Source organism: Homo sapiens, chromosome 9 (assembly GCF_000001405.40).
Source record: "Homo sapiens chromosome 9, GRCh38.p14 Primary Assembly".
Lineage (NCBI taxonomy): Eukaryota > Metazoa > Chordata > Mammalia > Primates > Hominidae > Homo > Homo sapiens.
In genome coordinates, this window is record NC_000009.12 from 134,495,122 (window position 1) to 134,516,085 (window position 20,964).

A 20,964-nucleotide genomic window follows, 5' to 3' on the forward strand; every position below is an offset into this window, starting at 1 on the left:
CCTGGTAGGCAAGGGAGGGTTTGCTTTCTTCGCTTCCTGTGTGACCAGCCAGCAGTTGCAGCGTTAGGTCAGCGGGGTCCTCACTATGGTCCCTGGAGGAAGCGCCCCACACCGGGCATCAGGACCTCTCACCCTACAGAGGAGCATCCCTCCTGCCTCCACACTTTCGTTCCTGGCCCATGTCTTCTGTGTAATCCGTGGGTTCAAGCATACATCATATCCTGAAGGGTGATGTTTCAAAATATATACATTGTACCTGTTTTCTTTTCTTATTTATTAATTTAATTTATCTTATTTGTTTAAGGGTGATGTTTCAAAATATATGCAATGTACCTTTTTTCTTTTCTTATTTATTTATTTTTGAGACAGAGTCTCGCTCTGTCGCCCAGGCTGGAGTGCAATGGCGTGATTTCAGCATACGGCAACCTCCACCTCCCGGGTTCAAGCGATTCTCCTGCCTCAGCCTCCCTAGTAGCTGGAATTACAGCACCAGCCACCACACCTGGCTAATTTTTGTGTTTTTTGTAGAGAAGGGGTTTCATGTTGGCCAGGCTGGCCTCGAACTTCTGACCTCAAGTGATCTGCCCACCTTGGTCTCCCAAAGTGCTGGGATTATGGGTGTAAGCCACCGTGCCCGGCTCTATTTTATTTTTATTGAGGTGAAATACACATAACCTACAATCCCCCACTTTAAAATATGCAATCAGTATATTTACCAGGTGCAGCCGCCACCTCTCTCTCATTTTAAAACTTTTTTGCACTCCAGAGGAGCGTTCTTTACCCATTAAACAGTCTCTCCCCAGCCCCTGGTAACCGTGAGTCTCCTTTCTGTCTGTATGATTTGCTTTTTCCTATTCTAGTTCGTACAAATAGGATCGTACAGTATGAGTCTTTGGGATCTGACGTCTTCCCTGAGCCCATGTCTTTCGGGTCCCCGTTGCAGCATGCATCCGAGCTTCGCTCCTTTCTGTGGTTGAATCACACTCCACTGTGCGGATGGGCCGGTTTTGTTTCTCCATCACCGTTGCTGGACCTTTGGGTGGCTCCCACCTTTGGGCCACTGCATTCTGTATCTCGGCGCAGAGGCTGTCCCCACCCGGAGCCTTTACTAAGGACTTTAAGGAGTCTTTCCCACTCTGTCAGGCTGGCAGGTTCTGAGTGCCATGGTGCTCCTGGGTCACGATCCCTATGCCACCTCCCTCACAGTAGCTGGTCCCTCATCAGAGGCAACCTCATGCAAGATGCCGTGTTGGCAAATGAGATGCTCTATGAGTCCTTGGAAGGTGCAGGTGGTGAGGCCACGTGGAGAGGGCAGGTGAGCCATGCTGGGATGTGGGTCCACCCAGCGAGGAAGTGGCCTCCAGGGTGGCAGGGTCAGCTGGGTTCTGACGTGTCACCAGTCATGAAGAGGTTGGTTGGTCTCCTTGAGAACTGAAGTCTCCCCTGGACAGCTCGAGTGGCTCTCTGCTCTGCTGGCACGCGGCATTGGCAGACACGGGTGGCCTGGGCAAGAGAACCTCTCGGATGTGAGCCGTCCACGCTGCTGGGGCTGTGCGCTCGCTGTTTCAGCTCTGGGTGGCGGGGAAGGCAGGCTGACTCACTGCTGTCTCACGGGCCCAGCATCTCTCCTCCTGGCTACTCTCATACCCATGAACCAGGAGGCCCCAGACAAAGTTTCACACGCTTCCCAGTCCATCTGCACACCTCTCCCCCAGGACACCTTGTCTCCAACTTTCCAGTCTTGCCCTTCCAGGCCCCGACCATCCTTCCAGGCCACTGACCACTGCCCAGGACTCACAGCATATCCAAATCTCCATCCATGTCTCCCTCCATGCAACGTGGATGACAGGCGTCCTGCTGGCAGCTCCGCCTTTCAGGGCCATTCCAAGAGAGTGGGGTTGACGTACGGTCGCTGCTATGGCCTGGCACGTGCACGAAATCACTGGGCGGCCGGAGTGTGTGTGGGGCGGTGGAAAAGCCATGTTGAGAGAACATGAAATGTGTGTGGAAAATAAAGGCAGAGGGCCTGCCTGAGTGTGAGCATACAATCGCCTGAACTCCCCTGTGGTTTTGCCATTTATTGAATAGCGTAAACCCACAACTATTTTTTTACTGTTTGGTAATGCTTTTCAAATTTTGCAATAAACCCATTCAGCAGCAACAAGCAGAAAAAAAAAGTCATGCTTAATAACAACATTAAATTTTTATTTCTCTTTCTCGAGGAAGTTGATGATGAACTCATATATAAACTTAGTGTTGGCATTAACCATCCAATATGGGGGCTGCAGTGACACACGAGAACCGGAGGAGCGAGTCAGTCCTTCAAGCTGTCACTTTAAGAGGACTGGCTGAGGATAAGGATGGCTGAGGAACCCCTAATACAGGACTTTGTGGAGCCTGCCACTTTATTCAGATGAAATGTCTGCTCCTCTAAATTAATTTTGCTTGCTTTTTATTCCAAATTTTCTTGTGCATGGATTCTCAGAACTTTGCAAACCATTCATTGATGCCTGTTTAGCTTGACTCATCAGATGTGTCAAGCAGGAAGTCAGTTAAATTAGGTCCAATAATGCTTTGATTTTTTTTTTTTTTCCTATCCAGTTGCAGGAATCTAGGTGAAGCATCTGGAAGTTTGTTTTATCACATATGCAACATCTGACGTACAGTCAATACTGCTGCAAATTCAGCAAGAAAATGTCAACATTGGCATTTTATTTGTTTTGATGATGGTGACAGGGAGATGAATTTTAGAGTACCATGGCACCATGGTAAAGACGCAGTGTTCTGACTCAATGAAGAAGCCCATTATTGGGATCTGGTTGCGGTGTACAAAACTCCTCATTGCATTTAAACAAGCTTGATATTCAACCAGTACAAACAGAGGGTGTAGCTGTCAAAGTGTGCACATATTTTTATATACACACGGAGTAGCTGAACTGTAGTTTGGTTTGTGTCAGAGTGATGCGTATAGGAAAAACCTTTCCGCGTGGAAGCATGAACTTTCTTTTTGATTGAGCCATTGAAGAATTACCTTGTAATTCAACATGACGGTATTGAACATTTTTGAAAATGAGTCTCCAGGCCAGGTGCAGTGGCTCATGACTATAATCCCAGCACTACGCGTGAGAGGCCAAGGTGGGCGGATTGCTTGCGGACAGGGGTTCCAGACCAGCCTGGCCAACATGGTGAAATCCCCTGTCTACTAAAAGTACAAAAACGATCCGGGCGTAGTGGCGTTGCAGTGAGCTGAGATCACGCCACTGCACTCCAGCCTGGGTGACAGAGCGAGACTGTCTCAAAAGAAAAAAAGAAAAGAAAAGAAAATGAGTCTCTAAATTTGGTTGCATTTTATTTAAAACCATTTGGAGGTTTTAAGTCAAGCGATTTGACAGACAGTGTCAAAACACTTGAGCTTTTGCATCTTTTTCTGCAAAGGCGAGTACACTGAGGCTTGTCCCTATGAAAGCAAGGAGGAAGCAGAACAAATTTAACTACAGGCCCAGCGGGTGTGCAATGTTCAGTTTCAAAATTGAATAACTGTGCTCTGGAAAATCTTTACTTGTGGGAAGAATGCTTTGTTGGTGCTTTTATGTTAAGTGGATACATTTACATTCTGAAACTAAGCAGAACAAAATTGAGAAGGTCATTCAAAAGAATCCTATGTAGAGACGGCCTATTTGAATTTTGTCTCACAAATATATTTGTTGAAGAAGGGCACACTAAATACAGCACCTGTGAGAATATTTGGCATGAAATATTTACACATTTAAGCAAAACAAAAACAAAACAAAAATGAAACAAACCAAAAGCCCCCAAACAGACCAACCTAGGGTTGTCAATATTCCCTACTCAGCAGAAATGGCTGGGTCCGTCAGGTTTGAGCTCAGCATCTGGTGAGAATGTATTTTTCTCAAATAAAAATGCTATTTTATTTCCAGAGAACTGGCTCTGGGGGGCATCAAAGAATTCAAATTAATTAACATAAATTGAATGATTTGTCAGGAATTTCATGAAAAAAATATAATGCCATATTGAAAAAAACACCAGTGACAACTATTGGAGACCAGTGGCTGAGATACTGATGGGAATGCATGGTTATGTACCAAAAATAATTTGTATAAAGATGTTATTTTATGTTGTGTTAGTATACACAGATACATTTTCATACTTGTAGGAAGCATTATTTATTATGTATGTATGTATGTATGTCTTTATTTATTTTTTTGGAGACGGAGTCTTGCTCTGTCGCCCAGGCTGGAGTGCAGTGGCGCGATCTCAGCTCACTGCAAGCTTCGCCTCCCGGGTTCACGCCATTCTCCTGCCTCAGCCTCTCGAGTAGCTGGGACTACAGGCACCCGCCACCATGCCTGGCTATTTTTTTTTTGTATTTTTAGTAGAGATGGGGTTTCACCGTGTTAGCGAGGCTGGTCTCGATCTCCTGACCTCGTGATCCGCCCGCCTCGGCCTCCCAAAGTGCTGGGATTACAGGTGTGAGCCACCACGCCCGGCCGTATGTATTTATTTTTGAGTTGGAATTTCGCTCTTGTTTCCCAGGCTGGAGTGCAATGGCGGGATCTCGGCTCACTGCAAGCTCTGCTTCCCAGTTTCAAGTGATTCTCCTGCCTCAGCCTCCCGAGTAGCTGGGATTACAGGTGCCCGCCACCATGCCCGGGTAATTTTTGTATTTTTAGTAGAGATGGGGTTTCACATGTTGGCCAGGCTGGTCTCAAACTCCTGACCTCAGGTGATCCATCCGTCTCGGCTTCCCAAAGTGCTGGGATTACAGGTGTAAGTCACCGTGCCTGGCCGCATTGTATTTTTGAAAGTAGTTTAGAACTACAGTTGACCCTTGAACAACACGGGTTTGAACTGCATGGATCCATTTGCCTGTGGATTTTCTTCCGCCTCTGCCGCTCCTGACTCAACAAGACCAACCCCCTTCCTCCTCCTCCTCCTCCTCAACCCACTCAACATGAAGACAATGAGGATGAAAACCTTTATGAGGATCCACTTCCATTTAATGAATAAGTAAATAAATTTTCTCTTCCTTATGATTTTCTTTTTTGTTACTTTTTATTTTTTTATTGAGACGGAGTTTCACTCTCGTCTCCCAGGCTGGACTGCAATGGTGTGAACTCAGCTCACCGCAACCTCCGCCTCCCGGGTTCAAGTGATTCTCCTGGCTCAGCCTCCCGAGTAGCTGGGATTACCGGCATGTGCCACCACGCCCGGCTAATTTTTTGTATTTTTAGTAGAGACGGGGTTTCTCCGTGTTGGTCAGGCTGGTTTCGAACTCCCGATCTCAGGTGATCCGCCTGCCTCAGCCTCCTAAAGTGTTGGGATTACAGGCCTGAGCCACCATCCCCAGCATGATTTTCGTAATCACATTCTTTTCTCTAGCTTACTTTATTGTAAGAATACAGTATAGATACATATATAAAATATGTGTTAATTGACTGTTATCAGTAAGACTTCTTGTCAACAGTAGGCTATTAGCAGTTAATGTTTTGGGAAACTCCGTCTCTACTAAAAATACAAAAATTACCTGGGCCTGGTGGTAGGCGCCCGTAATCCCAGCTACTCAAGAGGCTGAGGCAGGAGAATCGCTTGAACCCAGGAGGTGGAGGTTGCAGTGAGCTGATGATCGCATCACTGCACTCCAGCCTGGGTGACAGAGCGAGAATCCATCGGAAAAAAAACAAAAAAAAGCTTTCTATGGATTTTCAATTGTAAGAAGTGTGGGTGCCCCGACCCCCTCGTGGTTCAAGGGCAGACTGTCTTTTATGGAGCCACCATTTTCATACACCCAGCGAGTCACTAAAATATGCATTCCCAGCCTTTATAAATTTAATGATTCCTGGTGCCCTGCCAGGAGAAATCCTAGGTGTCCTGGTTTTAGGGATGAACCACGCGGTCACCCCAGCTGGGGGCGAGCAGAGGGACGGCTCCTCCTCCCCTGTTATTTGTCTTTGGGCCTTTGCCCCTCCCCTTGACCCTTTGCTCCTCTCTCCTCGTGCCCATCCCTAGACTGTCAGCTCCACGGGAAGAGGCCCCGCAGCCAGGACCTGCCAGCCCAGAGCCCGCTCACCGTGAGCGGTTGAATGAATCAACGCACGCAGGGACAAACCTGTGGGCGCGAATGCTCAGCCTCAGGAAACCTGTGCGCGGAAATGCTCAGCCTCGGGAAACCTGTGCGCGCGAAAGCTCAGCCTCGGGAAACCTGTGCGCGGAAATGCTCAGCCTCGGGAAACCTGTGCGCGGAAATGCTCAGCCTCGGGAAACCTGTGTGCGCGAAAGCTCAGCCTCGGGAAACCTGTGCGCGGAAATGCTCAGCCTCGGGGCTCTGGCTGCCCACTTGGCCTGGGACCTTCCTGCTCCCCTGGACCCCCCTGGTCTGCCCATCCTCCTCTGTCCCGACTCAGCTCAAATGCGCCTTCTGGGGATCCCCCTGGCCCACCCAGGCCAGGCGGCCAGGCAGGGCATGGGCTCCAGAACTCTTAGCGTGGTTTTCAATCACAGTCGGGCTAAGTGTATCAGGGCTGCGTGCAGGGCTCGGAGCGGGGGGAGTGTGTCCCTAGCGAAGGGCTCTTCTCCCACCCGCCCCTCACCCCTGCTGAGTCTCCCTCCCTACCCCTGTGGGGCAACTTGGGTGGGCCCGTGGGTCCTGGGGGCACTTCGGAGGTGTCAGGGCAGGCTTGTGGGGGTATCTAGGAGTCTAGTCCAACCTAAATCACAACTCCCCCTCTGCAGCTTCAGCCTTCAGCCCTCTTCTTCCTGCCGAGGCGAGGGGGCTGCTGGGAGGTTTTGGTCCTGCAGACTCGAGAGTCGCTGGGAGGAGAGGAAAGTATGTCGGCCCCAGGTCCCGGGCTCTGCTCCTGCGCTCTGGCCTCCGGTTTCTCTGGGCGTAGGAGAGGAGGGCAGGTGAGAGGAAGGGCGGGGCTGGGGGCTGCCCATGCTTCTCTCCCGCTGCTAGCAGTCTCCTTAGGAGGACCGCTCTGTGCGTGGGGTGGAGGTGGGGGTGTCTGTGACTTCTTCCCCAACCTGCCCCCAGGACTGCCCCACCCTCCACCCTCGAGCTGGGGGTCCCGATACTCCCGTCACATCCGTTCCCGTCACAACCTCTCTCTAGCTTCTCTTTGCAGGGCTGCCCTTGTGAGTGGGGTCCTTGAAGACCCTGGGGGTGGGGGGACAAGCCATGTGGCTGGGAACCGCCATGGGCCTCTGGGCACAGAGCTCCTCCCTGTACCTACAGCCGGCAGCCCCCCAACCCCAGCTTCTCCCTTTCTGCCTCCCCCTGCCTCCCTGCTGCCTCTCCACTGCCTCAACGGCGGCCCTGCACCCTCTTTCCTCCTGCAGGGAGCAGACTCGGGCCCTCTCTCTGCACCCAGATGCAGTGGGGCCGGTGGAGGGGTGAGCTTAGGTCGTGGGGGACAGGGGGCCTGGTGGCTCCAGCTGGCCATGTAGCCCACTCTGAGTCCTGTTCGCTCACTGGAGGATGGGAGTGACAGCCGGGCCCGGCCCCTGGTGGAGTCTGAGTGCCAGCTGTGGCCCACAGGGCTTGGTGAAGGGGCCTTGGGGTGAGAGGTGGGTACAGCGAGAGGCCGCCAGGCCGTGTCCTCGCCCTCCTGCCCTCTGCCTTCGTTCTCTGTCTCATGTGGGGGTGTCCATGGACGAGCCCCCTTCCAGGACGGGCCAGGAGGACCGTGAGCAGCGGGGCCACGTGGCTGGGGAGCAGGCTTGGTGCCTCTCTGTCGCTCAGGCCAGGAGCTCTCCCTGGATCCTGCTGCTGTTGCCTGCAGCTGGGCCTGAGCCAGGGAGGCCATCCTGGGGCCCAGGGGCAGGCTTGAGGTGGGGACGTGGCATCCGCAGCCCTGGCTGGCCTTGTCTGTGGGAGGCCTAGCCAGGGCTGAGTCATCAGGAGCTGGGAGCTGAGCAGACCAGGCCCAGCTGTCTGGAGAGTCTGGGCTTATCCCTGCGTTGTGACGAAATCACGGCGCAGAAGCCCGGGAGGGGGCTGCACTCGCAGTGGAAAAGCTGTCGTGGGCAGCAGGCTGGGCACTGAGGGGTGAGACCCTGGCCGCCCCCATGTCCAACCCACGCTGCCTGTCTTAGGGTGGCCCACCACGCTCACTTGCCCGGGACTGAGGGGCTTCCCAGGACTCAAGCCTTTCAGCTCTAGGGGTGGTAGAGTTTTGGGCAAAGCAAGACAGTTGTCACCCTAGTGGGGGCTGCATGGCTGGAGAACATTCGCTGGGGAACTCTTGATACAATGGCCTGGCGTGAGGAAATTGAGGCTCACAGCAATTAAGACACAGGCCCAGGGTCCTGAAGCTCCTAGGACAAGCGCCTGGAGTTTTTGGAGTGTGGCCTGGCGCTGTTCCTGCTGACAGCCACAGTGGTCTGGGGTGGCAATGGTGGCACAAGGCAATGAGCTCCACCCTCTCCACAATTAGTGGTGCTCCTTCCTGCTCAGCTGGAGGCAGCTTCCAGAATGCTCTGCTCTAGCACCCAGCCTGCATTCCAGATTTGGTGGGCTCTGTGGCAACTGGGCCAGACCAGGGTGTTTAGAGCCCCTCATCCTTCAGGTCTACTGGCACCCCATTCCTCTACACTGAGCAGCCAACGCCCAGCCTCACATCCTGGTCCTTTTCACACCCAGACACGTCTGTCGGCCCCTTTCCCCTATGCCTTCAGACAGGCACTGGTCCAACCTACCAGCTCATGCCAAGGAACCAGCTTCCTTCAACTGCCTTCCCTGCCTTGGTTTCCCATCACTGCAAGTGGGGAGAGGTACCTTTCACACTAGACTCTGTGAAGTTGCCATTCTCCAGACCTCACCAGCCAGTGCCCTGGGCTCCCCCCATGCCCACCCACAATTGCTGGGAGCCTCAGCCCAGGCCTCACCCTGGCTGATCTGATGTGCTAGGAAGGGCAGCCGGGCACCCTGTCTGTATTCCCTGCCGAACCTTGGGCTGGGTCTCTCCTGCTCCTCCTATCGGGGGCAGAGGTTAATGAGCACAAGCTCTAGAGTCAGGTAGTCTCGGGTTCAAATCCTGCCTCTGCTGTCCGCACATCAGTACAGCAGGAATACCACTGACTCCCTGCTGGGGAAATCCAGCAGCATCGGCCACTCACTGGCCGCCAGCACCAGAGTGCCCGTGGCGCATCAGGCATGGCTGGTTCCTCACTCATGTGGCCTCCAGATAGCTGCAGGGAGATGGGGTCATTATCTTTATCTTCTCCATTTACACATGAGGAAACTGAGGGCCAGGGAAGGGAGGTGAAGGCCAAGTTCCCCCAACTGGTGAGAAGGACCTTGTCTCCAGGTCTGTGAAAGGGGAAAGTTGTAACTGCCACTCAGGACTGGAGAAATGATGCTGCCTTCCCTCCAGGTGTGCCTCCCACGCCCCCCGGAAGCAATCGTATCTGCCCTTCCCTGCAGAGATTGCCACTGATTTGTTTTTTGTGATGACTGTTTTTTTTTTTTTTGGAGACACAGTCTCACTCTGTCACCCAGGCTGGAGTTCAGTGGCACGATCTTGGCTCACTGCAACCTCTGCCTCCTTGGTTCAAGCGATTCTCCTGCCTCAGCCTTTCAAGTAGCTGGGATTACAGGCACCCACCACCATGCCCGGCTAATTTTTGAATTTTTAGTAGAGATGGATTTTGCCATGTTGGCCAGGCTGGTCTTGAACTCTTGACCTCAGGTGATCTGCCTACCTTGGCCTACCAAAGTGTTGGGATGACAGGCGTGAGCCACCACGCCCAGCCAGTTTTGTTTTTTGTTGTGGTCCTCATTCCTAAATGATTTCATTTTTCCAATTTGTGATGCACATAAATGCAATCATGCATTTTAAAAAATTCTGTCCTGGGTCACAGTCCTTGTGCCACCTCTCTCACTGTAGCTTGTGCCTCAGCCAGAGGCAACCTCATTCAAGATGCTATGTTGGCAAATGAGATGCTCTTTGAGCCCTTGGAGGGCATAGGTGGCCAGGCTGTGTGGATGGGTGGGTGCGGGTCTCCTGTGTGTCCGGGCTGTGTGGATGGGTGGATGCGGGTCCCCTGTGTGTCCGGGCTGTGTGGATGGGTGGGTGCGGGTCCCCTGTGTGTCCGGGCTGTGTGGATGGGGGGGGTGCAGGTCCCCTGTGTGGCCCGGCTGTGTGGATGGGGGGGTGTGGGTCCCCTGTGTGGCCCGGCTATGTGGATGGGTGGGTGCGGGGCCGTGTGGATGGGGGGGGGGGTGTGGGTCAGCTGTGTTGTTGCAGGGACTGTCATTTGTTCTTGTGCGTTGTCATGTAATGTTTCATTCTCTGACTATTCCTCAATTCACCTGCATTGCTTCCATTCAGGGATCCTGTGAATAAAATGGCGCAGACGTGCTTGTGCGGCTTTCCTGCTGGAGTCCATGAGCGTCTCGAGGATTTGGTGAGTTGTGAGATTTCCACACATTCAAAGGTGGAAGGCAATTCCAAATTGCTTTCCAGAGTGGGTTTTTACAAATGGACAAGCTAATGAGCATTCCCATTGCTCTGAAACCTCACCAATAATTGGTATCTCCATTTTTTTGACAATCTGGTGGGTAATTGTGTATTGTGGTTTAACTTAAATTTTCTCCATATTGATGCGCTAGAGTTCCTTGGCATGTTTACTGGCTACTGCAGGTTCATTATCTGAAAGTCAATTTTTTTGGCCTATTTCTGTATTGCAATGTTTGCCTTTTAAAGGTACTGATTTATAGGAGTTCTTTATATATCCCGGATTTGCACCCTTGACTTAGTTCTGGGTTTCCGACTTTTTCCCACACCCTGGCTTGTCTTTTCTCTTTCTTTAGCATGTCTTTTGCCGAACAGCGACATTTATCTTCTTTTTGTTTACGGTTAGTGACCTTGGTCCCTCGTTTGGGAAATCCTTCTGTGCTCTGAGGAATCGTTTCCCAAGTCAGTTTCTTAAAGCTGTAGAATTGCGTTTGCCATGTTTTGGTCTTTGTTTCACTGGAATTGGTTTTTGTGTGCAATCTAAGGTCAAGTATCAATTTCACTCCCCCCCCCCATGTGGGTGGGTATTCAGTTGTTCCCAAATTGTTTATTGAATTAATTTATCTCTTCCCCACTGATCTCAAATGGCATCTCTGTGAAACACACTTTTTTAAAATTACTTTAAGTTCTAGGGTACATGTGTACAACGTGCAGGTTTGTTACATATACATACATGTGTCATGTTGGTGTGCTGCACCCATTAACTCGTCATTTACATGAGGTATTTATCCTAATGCTATCCCTCCCGCCTCCCCCCACCCCACGACAGGCCTCGGTGTGTGATGTTCCCCACCCTGTGTCCAAGTGTTCTCATTGTTGAATTCCCACCTATGAGTGAGAACATGCGGTGTTTGGTTTTCAGTCCTTGCGATAGTTTGCTCAGAATGATGGTTTCCAGCTTCATCCATGTCCCTACAAAGGACATGAACTCATCCTTTTGTATGGCTGCATAGTATTCCATGGCGTATGTGTGCCACATTTTCTTAATCCAGTCTATCATTGATGGACATTTGGGTTGGTTCCAAGTCTTTGCTATCGTCAATAGCGCCGCAATAAACATACGTGTGCATGTGTCTTTATAGTAGCATGATTTATAATCCTTTGGGTATATACCCAGGAATGGGATCGCTGGGTCAAATGGTATTTACAGTTCTAGATCCTTGAGGAATTGCCACACTGTCTTCCACAATGGTTGAACTGGTTTACACTCCCACCAACAGTGTAAACGTGTTCCTATTTCTCCACATCCTCTCCAGCACCAGTTGTTTCCTGACTTTTTAATGATCGCCATTCTAACAGGTGTGAGATGGCATCTCATTGTGGTTTTGATTTGCATTTCTCTGATGCCAGTGATGGTGAGCATTTTTTCATGTGTTTTTTGGCTGCATAAATGTCTTCTTTTGAGAAGTGTCTGTTCATATCCTTCACCTACTTTTTGATGGGGTTGTTTGATTTTTTCTTGTAAATTTAAGTTCTTTGTAGATTGTGGATATTAGCCCTTTGTCAGATGGGTAGATTGCAAAAATTTTCTCCCATTCTGTAGGTTGCCTGTTCACTCTGATGGTAGTTTCTTTTGTTGTGCAGAAGCTCTTCAGTTTAATTAGATCCCATTTGTCTATTTTGGCTTTTGTTTCCGTTGCTTTTGGTGTTTTAGTCATAAAGTCTTTGCCCATGCCTATGTCCTGAATGGTAATGCCTAGGTTTTCTTCTAGGGTTTTTATGGTTTTAGATCTAACATTTAAGTCTTTAATCCATCTTGAATTAATTTTTGTATAAGAGGTAAGGAAGGGATCCAGTTTCAGCTTTCTACATATGGCTAGCCAGTTTTCCCAGCACCATTTATTAAAAAGGGAATCCTTCCCCCATTTCTTGTTTTCATCAGGTTTGTCAAAGATCAGATGGTGGTAGATGTGTGGTGTTATTTCTGAGGCCTGTGTTCTGTTCCATGGGTCTATATCTCTGTTTTGGTACCAGTACCATGCTGTGTTACTCTAGCCTTGTAGTATAGTTTGAAGTCAGGTAGGGTGATGCCTCCAGCTTTGTTCTTTTGGCTTAGGATTGACTTGGCGATGCGGGCTCTTTTTTGGTTCCATATGAACTTTAAAGTAGTTTTTTCCAATTCTGTGAAGAAAGTCATTGGTAGCTTGATGGGGATGGCATTGAATCTATAAATTACCTTGGGCAGTATGGCCATTTTCACAATATTGATTTTTCCTATCCATGAGGGTAGAATGTTCTTCCATTTGTTTGTGTCCTCTTTTTGAGGAGTGGTTTGCAGTTCTCCTTGAAGAGGTCCTTCACATCCCTTGTAAGTTGGATTCCTAGGTATTTTATTCTCTTTGTAGCAATTGTAAAAGGGAGTTCACTCATGATTTGGCTCTCTGTTTGTCTGTTATTGGTGTATAGGAATGCTTGTGATTTTTGCACATTGATTTTGTATCCTGAGACTTTGCTGAAGTTGCTTATCAGCTTAAGGAGATTTGGGGCTGAGACAATGGGGTTTTCTAAATATGCAATCATGTCATCTGCAAACAGGGACAATTTGACTTCCTCTTTTCCTAATTAAATACTCTTTATTTCTTTCTCTTGCCTGATTGCCCTGGCCAGAACTTCCAACACTCTGATGAATAGGAGTGGTGAGAGAGGGCATCCCTGTCTTGTGCCAGTTTTCAAAGGGAATGCTTCCAGTTTTTGCACATTCAGTATGACATTGGCTGTGGGTTTGTCACAAATAGCTCTTATTATTTTGAGATACGTCCCATCAATACCTAGTTTATTGACAGTTTTTAGCATGAAGAGCTGTTGAATTTTGTCGAAGGCCTTTTCTGCATCTATTGAGATGCAGAAATCATGTGGTTTTTGTCTTTGGTTCTGTTTATGTGATGGATTATGTTTATTGATTTGTGTACATTGAACCAGGCTTGCATCCCAGGGATGAAGCCAACTTGATCGTGGTGGATAAGCTTTTTGATGTGCTGCTGGATTTGGTTTGCCAGTATTTTATTGAGGATTTTTGCATCGATGTTCATCAGGGATATTGGTCTAAAATTCTCTTTTTTTGTTGTATCTCTGCCAGGCTTTGGTATCAGGATGATGCTGGCCTCATAAAATGAGTTAGGGAGGATTCCCTCTGTTTCTATTGATTGGAACAGTTTCAGAAGGAATGGTACCAGCTCCTCATTGTACCTCTGGTAGAATACAGCTGTGAATCCATCTAAGTGTCCCTGTGTCTGGGTGTCTTTCTGAGCTTTTGATTTTGTTTTCCTGGAGATTTATCTGCTCTTGTTCCAATTCCTCACTGTCATGATCATTACAGCCTGATTAGAAATCCTGACAATAAGAAGGGACAGTTCTTTTACCTTGCTTTCCTTCAAGAATGTCTTGGCTATAACTGGCCCTTTGCAATTAAACATGAACTTCAAAATCACTTTGCCAGTTCCACAGATTGCAATTCTCTTGGGATTCTGAGTCCAGTGAATTTGAATCTATAGCCCACTTTGGGGACAGTTGACTTATTTACAATACTGAGTCTTCCAATCTATTAACGTCTTAAATCACTTATTTATATATTCTGTAATATGGCTCAAAGTCTCATCATATTCTCCAAATATACATTATTTTCTTCATAAATGTCTTTCAGTAGATATATTCGTAGGAACTTCATATTTTTTATATTATGAGTGGTATCTTTCTTCATTTATAAATATTTGTTGCTATCATGTAGAAATTTAACTCTAATTTGTGCATGAATTTTTGTATTTGGCAACTTTGCCAGACTTCCTGTCTGTTGGCTTATCTCCACATTCATACGGCTCTTCTATGTACATAATCATATCATCAACAAATGGTAACTGTTTGGTTTTTCCTTTTCAATGCTGGTAGCTTTTATCCCCTTGTCTTCCTGTCCTGGCCAGGACTTCTAGTACAATATGGAATAGAGGTGGTGAGACCGGACATATTGTCTTATGCCCTGTTTCAAAGGATAGCTTTAAAGTTTCACTATTAAATATGATTTTACAGTAGGTGTTTTGCACACAGTCTTTGTCAGGTTAAAGAAGTTGTCTTTTATTTCTATTTCTCTGTTTTGTACATACTATTTATTTATCAGGTTAAAGAAGTTTCCGTCTATTTCCTTCACTGAAAAACAGTTTTAAATCCTGAATGTATCCTGAATTCAATTATCTTCTTCCGTCTTCACTGAGATGAGCCTATGACTTTTAAATCTTTAATCTGTTAATGTAGTATGTTGTATTAATTTTTCTGAATGTTCAGTCATTTAACCTTGCATTCCTTAGATAAATTCAACTTGTCCATGGTGTGTGATTCTGCATATGCAGTTGGGTTTAGTTTGCTGAGCTTGTGTTTGCATTTATGTTCATGAGTGAGGCTGGCCCATGATGGTCATTTCCTATGCTGTCCTTGTCAGGCTTGGGGGTAGAATTCCTTCTTTTCTATTATCTGTGAGTGATGAGAATTTTTTTTTTTTTTGAAACAGAGTCTCACTTTGTTGCCCAGGCTGGAGTGCTGTGGTGCAGTCTCGGCTCACTGCAACCTTTTCCTCCCGCGTTCAAGCAATTCTCCTGCCTCTGCCTCCTGAGTACCTGGGATTACAGGCATGCGCCATCACATCTGGCTAATTTTTTGTATTTTTAGTAGAGACGAGGTTTCACCATGTTGGACAGGCTGATCTCAAACTCCTGACCTCGTGATTCGCCTGCCTCAGCCTCCCAAAGTGCTAGGATTACAGGCGTGAGCCACCACGCCCAGCAGAGTGATGAGAATTTACTGATGAATTTTTCTTCGCTTGAGGTTTTATTTGTGGAAAGATTTTGAACTAGTGATTCAGTTTCTTGAGTGGTGATAGGACCATGTAGGGGTTCTATTCTTGAGTTTGTGATATTTTTCTAGGGACATGTTCATTGTGTCAAATTCTAATATTTATTAGGAAAGTTTCATAATATCCTCTTATTATAATATTGCCATATCATAATATGTGTAGTGATTTTCTTTTTCATTCTCAATATTAGTAAGTAATTTGTAACTTTTCTAATTTTTTCTTTTGATTAGTCTTGCCAAAATTAGTAAATTTTATTATTTATTATCTTTAAAAAACTGACTCTGATTTTTTATTCTATTTTATAGTTTTCTATTTCATTAAGTTCTTTTTATTTAATTAACTTATTCATTATTTTATTTTTTCTTCCACTTTCTTGGAATTATTTTGCTGTGTTTTCTTCTTGAGATCTGGATTTAGCTGAGTAATTGTCAACCTTTCTTTTTCTCTAGTCTAATCACTTATGACTATACATGTCCTTAATGTATTGCTTTATGTGGCATTTTGTATTCATAACTTTCATGAATTTTTAGTATTCAATAAAAGCATTTTCTAATTTTTGTTAAATTTTGCTTTGAAAATAGGTTATTTAGAAGTGTTCAGGCTGGGTGCGGTGGCTCATGCCTGTAATCCCAGCACTTTGGGAGGCCGAGGCGGGTGGATCACGAGGTCAGGAGATCGAGACCATCCTGGCTAACACGGTGAAACCCCGTCTCTACTAAAAGTACAAAAAAAATTAGCTGGGCATGGTGGCAGGCGCCTGTAGTCCCAGCTACTCGGGAGGCTGAGGCAGGAGAATGACATGAACCCGGGAGGCAGAGCTAGCAGTGAGCTGAGATCATGCCACTGCACTCCAGCCTGGGCAACAGAGTGAGACTCCATCTCAAAAAAAAAAAAAAAAAAAGTGTTCATTAGTTTTTAAACATATGAGGATTGTCTAATCATCTTGCACTGTGGTAAGAAAATATTCGCTGGCTATTTTAATTCTTTGAGGTTGTTTGAGGTCCATGTAGGCCTCAAGATATAGTCACCTTTCCTCGGGTGAGGAAATGTCTGCTTCAGAAGGGTTTGTGAGTGCAGTTCCATGTGAATGGAACCGAGTCGCTAATTGCTTTGCTCACCTCTTCTCTGCCTATCCACCTCCTCTCAAAGTCTCCCACTGGGACTGTGGGTTTGCCGGTTTCTTCTTGGAGGCTTTTGATTTTTACCTTTAATTTTCAGGCTGTGTTTTAAGTCTATGCAGACTGGTTTTGTTTTCTTTTCCCAGTGAATTGAACTCTTCATTATAGCAAGGCAACAATTCCTAGTGATGCATTTTGTCTGCAGATACTCTGTCTGGCTTCCTCTGGTTTGCCGTTGCATCTTCTTTATCTGTTTACTTCCAACCTCTGCAGATCTTTATGTTTTGAGCATTTTCTGTAAACACCATGAGGTTCGATTTCTCCCCATAGTCTGTCAGCCTTTGTCTTTCTACTGCAGTGTTTAGTCTATTTAAATTTAATATGATTGCTTTATATTTAGGTTCAAATAGACTACTTTTTTTATTTTTAGCTGTTGCATATTTTTCTCGTCTATATTGTCTTCTTTTGGCTTTAAGTCTTTTTTTATTTCTATTTTCTATTCTATTAGTTTAGGAGTTCTGTACCATTGCTGGTCTTTTTGTGGTTTATCTAGTAGTTGCAATATACATCTTTAGCTTCTATGAGTTTTCCAGGGCTGCTATAATAAATCAACTAACCGTGGGGCCTAACATAGAGAAAGTTTATTCTGTCCCAGTTCTGGAGGCCGGAACTCTAAAACCAAGGTGTTAGCAAGGCCGCACTCCCTCTGGAGGGTCTAGGGAAGCCTCCTCCAGCTTCTGGTGGCTTCAAGCATTCCCTGGCTTGTGGTTGCATCACTCCAACCTCTGCTTCCGTCTTCATGTGGCCTCTTCTCTGTGTCGCTCTGTGTCCTCTTCTCTTCCTTTAAAGTCTCAAGTCATTGGATTTAGGGCCTACACTAACTCAGTATGATCTTACCTTGATCCTTAACCATGTGCATCGGCAAAGACCCAATTTCTAATTTAGGTCTTATTCTGAGGTTCTGGGTGGACGTGAACTTTGGGGGACCCTATGCACTGCATTATACTTACCAAGACGCAGAGTTAATCAATACCCCGGCAGCACAGGAATCCCACATGGAACCCTGAGGCTCCACATTTACTCCTCGCTGATTTCTAGGTATTTCTGTTCTGTCTTGGCCTATTGTAACCCACAGGCTTTATTTGTTTTTGCAGCCAGAACTCCTTTCAACTCACCCACTTCTGCCAGGATGCATGCCCACCTTATCCCCCTCCTCTCAGTTCTTCCACCTAGAATCATGTTTCTTGGGCCCGGAATTTACCTTTTAGGCTTTTAGTAGAGACACTCTGTTGTTGAACTCTCTCAGGTTTTGGTTTTCTGAAAATGTCTTTATTCTGCCCTCTTTCTTGGCGTTTCAGTGGGGTTTTCTTTCAGCTCATCGAAGACGCCATGTCATGGGCTTCTGGTTTTCATTCCTGTGTTTGACAAGTCAGATGTCAGCCTGCCTCTCTGGCAGATAATTGTCTCCATCTCTGGCTGCTTTGAAGATGTTTCTCTTTGTTTCTGCAGTTTCACTAAGATGAGTCCAGGTGTGGATGGCTTTTTATTTATCCCACCTGGGGTCCACTGGGCTTTTTTTTTTTTTTTTTTTTTGAGATGGAGTCTTGCTCTGTCACCCAGGCTGGAGTGCAGTGGCGTGATCTTGGCTCACTGCAAGCTCCGCCTCCCACATTCACACCAATCTCCTGCCTCAGCCTCTCAAGTAGCTGGGACTACAGGTGCCTGCCACCACGCCTGGCTAATTTTTTTGTATTTTTAGTAGAGACGGGGTTTCACCGTGTTAGCCAGGATGGTCTCGATCCCCTGATCTCTTGATCCGCCCGCCTCAGCCGCTTTTTTACATCTGTGGCTGTGTCCCATCAGTTCTGTGAAATCCCCAGGCATTATCTCTTAAAATATCATGCTGCTCCCATTGCCTCTTCTTACCTTCTGCAGCCTGGTGAGATGACATGAGACCTTCTGACTTGCTTCTTCGTGCCTCCATACTTCTCAGATTCCCCATCCTCTTGCCTCACTGTACAGCATTCTCTAGAATTTCTTCTAACCTAACCTGTCTTTATTTATTTTTTATTTTTATTTTTTTGAGACAGAGCTTCGCTTTTGTCGCCCAGGCTGGAGTGCAGTGGTGCAATCTTGGCTCACTGCAATCTCTGCCCTCTGGGTTCAAGTGATTCTCCTGTGTCAGCCTCCTGAATAGCTGGGACTACAGGTGCACGCCACCATGCTGGGCTAATTTTTGTATTTTTAGTAGAGATGGGGTTTCATCATGTTGGCCAGTGTGGTCTCAAACTCCTGACCTCAGATGATCCACCACCTTGGCCTCCCAAAGTGCTGGGATTACAGGTGTGAGCCACTGCACCCAGCCCTAACCTATCTTTAGTTTATGAGTTCTTCTTCAGTTGAAGTGAACATACTATGAGAATAAATATTAAAGCCATAATCTTAATTATATTTTTACCTTAGCTTTCTACTCCTTTTTCACCAAGTCAATGCCTGTTTCTAGCTTCCTGCTTACTATTTTCAGTCTGGCTTTTCTTTAAGCTCAATAAAAGCATAGTTGTTTTATGATACATGCCTGATTTCTTTAGTATTTGAAGTCTGCGTGTCTGTTTCTGCTCTCTGTTTTCTCTCTTGTCTCTTACTCATTGGATTTTGTTTCCCTTTGTCCTTGTACTGAGACCTGCCTGTGTTCTTTAGTATGTAATATGTGGAGGTTCTTTGAGGCCTAGGATGAAGGTGAATTTTTCTGGAAGGGATTTGCGTTTGGTTCTTCTGGGCCACCGCAGATCCAGGGTTACCTTGCTCCAAACTCATTGATGGAGCATCTTTAATTCGCCGGGAGATGGGGGCTTGTGCCGCAAGGCTGGCTTGTGGTTGCCATTTTCAGCGATGTGCCCACCCCAGCCCCACCCTGAGCTCAGCACCAGGGCAGCGTTTCTGGTGGTCTCCTGAGGTGGGGCATGGGTGGGTTTTTTTCTGTCTGACCTGCATCTGAGGGGTGTGCAACTTGTGCCCCAGCTCTGTGAACAAGGCCTCCCACTGGCCTCCTCGAGTGGGCCCTGGGCTTGGCTTTGTGCCTTGCATAAGGCCTCTGAGCCCATTTGGTTCTGCCATAGGCTCACGACGAAGGGCGTTGCCGGGCCCTGCTCACCTCTTCGTGGCCCCACCTCCCTTTAGATGGCATCTGCTGATTCCTTACCATCTGGTCACCTCTTTGCTTTTAAAAATATTGTTTTCAGCAGTTTTGTTCCTCGGTGAGTGATTGCACTGATGAACCTAACCTGGTGCTTTACCGGAAATGTAAGTTAAGGGAAGGACTTGGTTCCTTCTCTCCATGCTTCGCACATCCCCATCATCAGCAAGTCAGCCGAGCTCTGGGGTAAGGGGCCTCCCTGTCCCATTGCCCTCCCTATCTGTCCCACCCCATGGCCACTCCCCGTCCTACCCCGGTCTCAGAAGCAGCCTCCTCATTGCTCTCTGGGGCCACCCTTGCTCCCCAACAGTCAGAGACTTTGAAAACACAAATCGGAGCCCCTCCCTTTCCTGTGGAAAGCCCTCCTGTGTCTCCACTACAGTCAGGATGAAACTGAATTCCCTCGCCACGGCTGAGTCTCACGTGATTTGGCCTCTCTCCAGCCCTCCGGCCCCATCTCCCCACCGCCCACTCACCAGCTGCCTTAGCCTTCGTGCCATTGCTCACCCATGCCAAGCTCTTTCCCATCTTCGTCCTTTCCCCATAGTCTGGAAGGTTCTTCCCCCAGCACTTTGCAAGACTGGGTCTGTCTCATCTTTCAGGCCCTTCTCAATCTCATCTTGTAGAGAGGCCCTCCCAGAGCCCTCTCAGCTCCCATGCCCTACCCGTCAGCTCCTTTCTGACCTCCACATTCTCCTCCTTTCATTACTGCTGTGGCTCACCATGGGAAACTAGCACCTCTTCCCTGATGAACCTGCTTGTCCAGCTTCCTGGACAGTGGAGGCCCACAGGCATCTTGGCACCCACACCGTGCCTGCACCCAGTAGCTGCTCAGGACGTGCTTGCTGGATAAATGAGGGCATAAGTCTCTTTGCATGCTGCTCATGGGAGGCAGGGATGGGGCTTAGCGGCCTCCAGTTTCCATACAGACTTTTGGTAGAAGGTAGCTGAAGTCAGCAGATGGGATGTGTTTCCAGATCTGACTTGGTTTACTCTCTCCCCTGTTAAGAAAAATCATCTAGCCTGGCGCAGTGGCTTATACCTGTAATCCTAGCACTTTGGGAGGCTGAGGCGGGTGGGTCACTTGAGATCAGGAGTTTGAGACCAGCCTGGCCAACATGGTGAAACCCCGCCTCTACCAAAAACATGAAAAAATAGCCAGGTGTTTTGGCATGCGCCTATAATCCCAGCCACTCGGGGGGCTGAGGCAGGAGAATTGCTTGAACCTGGGAGGCAGAGTTTGTGGCGAGCTGACATTGTGTGCCACTGCACGCCAGCCTG

The 20,964-nt window shown here is 47.6% G+C and overlaps 1 long non-coding RNA gene across 2 annotated transcripts in view; it reads left to right on the forward strand.

Moving 5' to 3' along the window:
• LOC100506532 (uncharacterized) overlaps window positions 1–20,964 on the forward strand; it is a 58,996-nt gene that overhangs the window by 8,854 nt on the left and 29,178 nt on the right. For both annotated transcript variants that reach the window (NR_188441.1, NR_188442.1), the window contains one exon: window positions 10,350–10,425. This is a non-coding gene — a long non-coding RNA (uncharacterized LOC100506532). The remainder of the gene's footprint in view (window positions 1–10,349; window positions 10,426–20,964) is intronic.